The sequence below is a fragment of the Homo sapiens genome, chromosome 12 (genome assembly GCF_000001405.40).
Source record: "Homo sapiens chromosome 12, GRCh38.p14 Primary Assembly".
NCBI lineage: Eukaryota > Metazoa > Chordata > Mammalia > Primates > Hominidae > Homo > Homo sapiens.
In genome coordinates, this window is record NC_000012.12 from 30,976,329 (window position 1) to 30,977,642 (window position 1,314).

General features: G+C 59.0%; 1 protein-coding gene across 6 annotated transcripts in view; it reads left to right on the forward strand.

Annotated features, from left to right (window-relative positions):
* Nucleotides 1-1,314, forward strand: part of TSPAN11 (tetraspanin 11) — an 89,755-nt gene that overhangs the window by 49,581 nt on the left and 38,860 nt on the right. The gene's annotated exons all lie outside the window — the stretch shown is intronic.

A 1,314-nucleotide genomic window follows, 5' to 3' on the forward strand; every position in this document is an offset into this window, starting at 1 on the left:
CTGAAATCCAGCCCATGCAACTCTTGCTGAGCCACGTTTTTCTAATTTGCACCTAAGCACTAGCAGCCATCCAGCTAGAGCCAGCATGTGGTGGAGCCTGGACCCAACCCAAGTCCACTGACATTTCCCCCAGCTTTCCTCAGTGTTTGGGCCCTGCTTCTCAGAGGCTCCTCAAGCAGGAGGACCATCCACAGACGCTCTCTTCAGCCTCCTGCCTCAGCTTACCCTGCATACCACTCAGTACCACACGCAGACCCAGGCCCCTGTCCTGAGGCCCCCTTCAACCACACTCCTCCCCAGGGAGTGGAAAGTCCGTAGGGCAGAGGGAACATCCCCTTGTGGAATCTGCAACTCCCTCCCGCCACTTCCTGACCTCCTCCCAGGGACCCAGGAGAGTGAATCCTCTGTCCAGACAACCTGTGCCTGCAGGCAGCATCTGCAAGCATGTCCTGAGGCTGACTAGACCCCTGGCATATGTGCCCCTAGCCTGCACCACACCCAGCCCTCTCCACACACCTCCCATCCCGCAAGGGGCATCTGACCCTGGGGGAGGGGCACACAGAGCTGGAGGTTTTTCCTGATGCAGCGAAGAGCCTGGGGTAGGAAAGGAAGGGGCAGGGACCTTGCATTTGTGCTCTTGGCCTCAGGCCCCACAAATGATGGGGCTAGGCCTGACACTGTTATTCTGAGACTGGAAACTCTGTGTCCCTGATGCTGGGAGCCTATAGGACACAGTAAAATTGCAATGAGGAGGTGGGTAATGCACTTCATTTGAAAGGAAACCTTGCTCTTGGACCACAGTTCTTTTCCTGTGAAAAGAAATGGCCCCTCTCCCGTATTCCTTAATCCCTGCCCATGCCAGGCTCCCTGCTGAGTCGTGCAGGAGATGGTTGGGCAAGGCCCATGGGCCCATGGATTAGCATTGCCTCTGAAATGCTCTGTCTATCCTGGGCACCGCCCCCGCTCCGCCGCCACCCGCCACCGTATCCCCCCTGCCCACACTCCTTTCCCTGCTGGGTGAGCCCTAGAGTCTCAGTCTCACCCACAGGCTGGGCCTTCCCTAGAATCCAGCCATCCCAGTGACCACGGGTAGCTGCCCTGCTGTGGCCAGGTGGGCGGGCAGTGCCCGGGGGCAGCCTGGGTGGCAGGTGCTCATGAGTCTGGCTGAGCTTCCCCACAGTGGGGCCAATTTCCATCAGTAGTGCTCCCCCTCTCTCCTCTCTTCTCTATTCTCTCTCCTTGTCCCTGTCTGTGAGCTCCGTGGCTGCCTGTAGCCAGCTTCATCCCCCTCTCCGTGCTCCTCCAGGGTGGGGA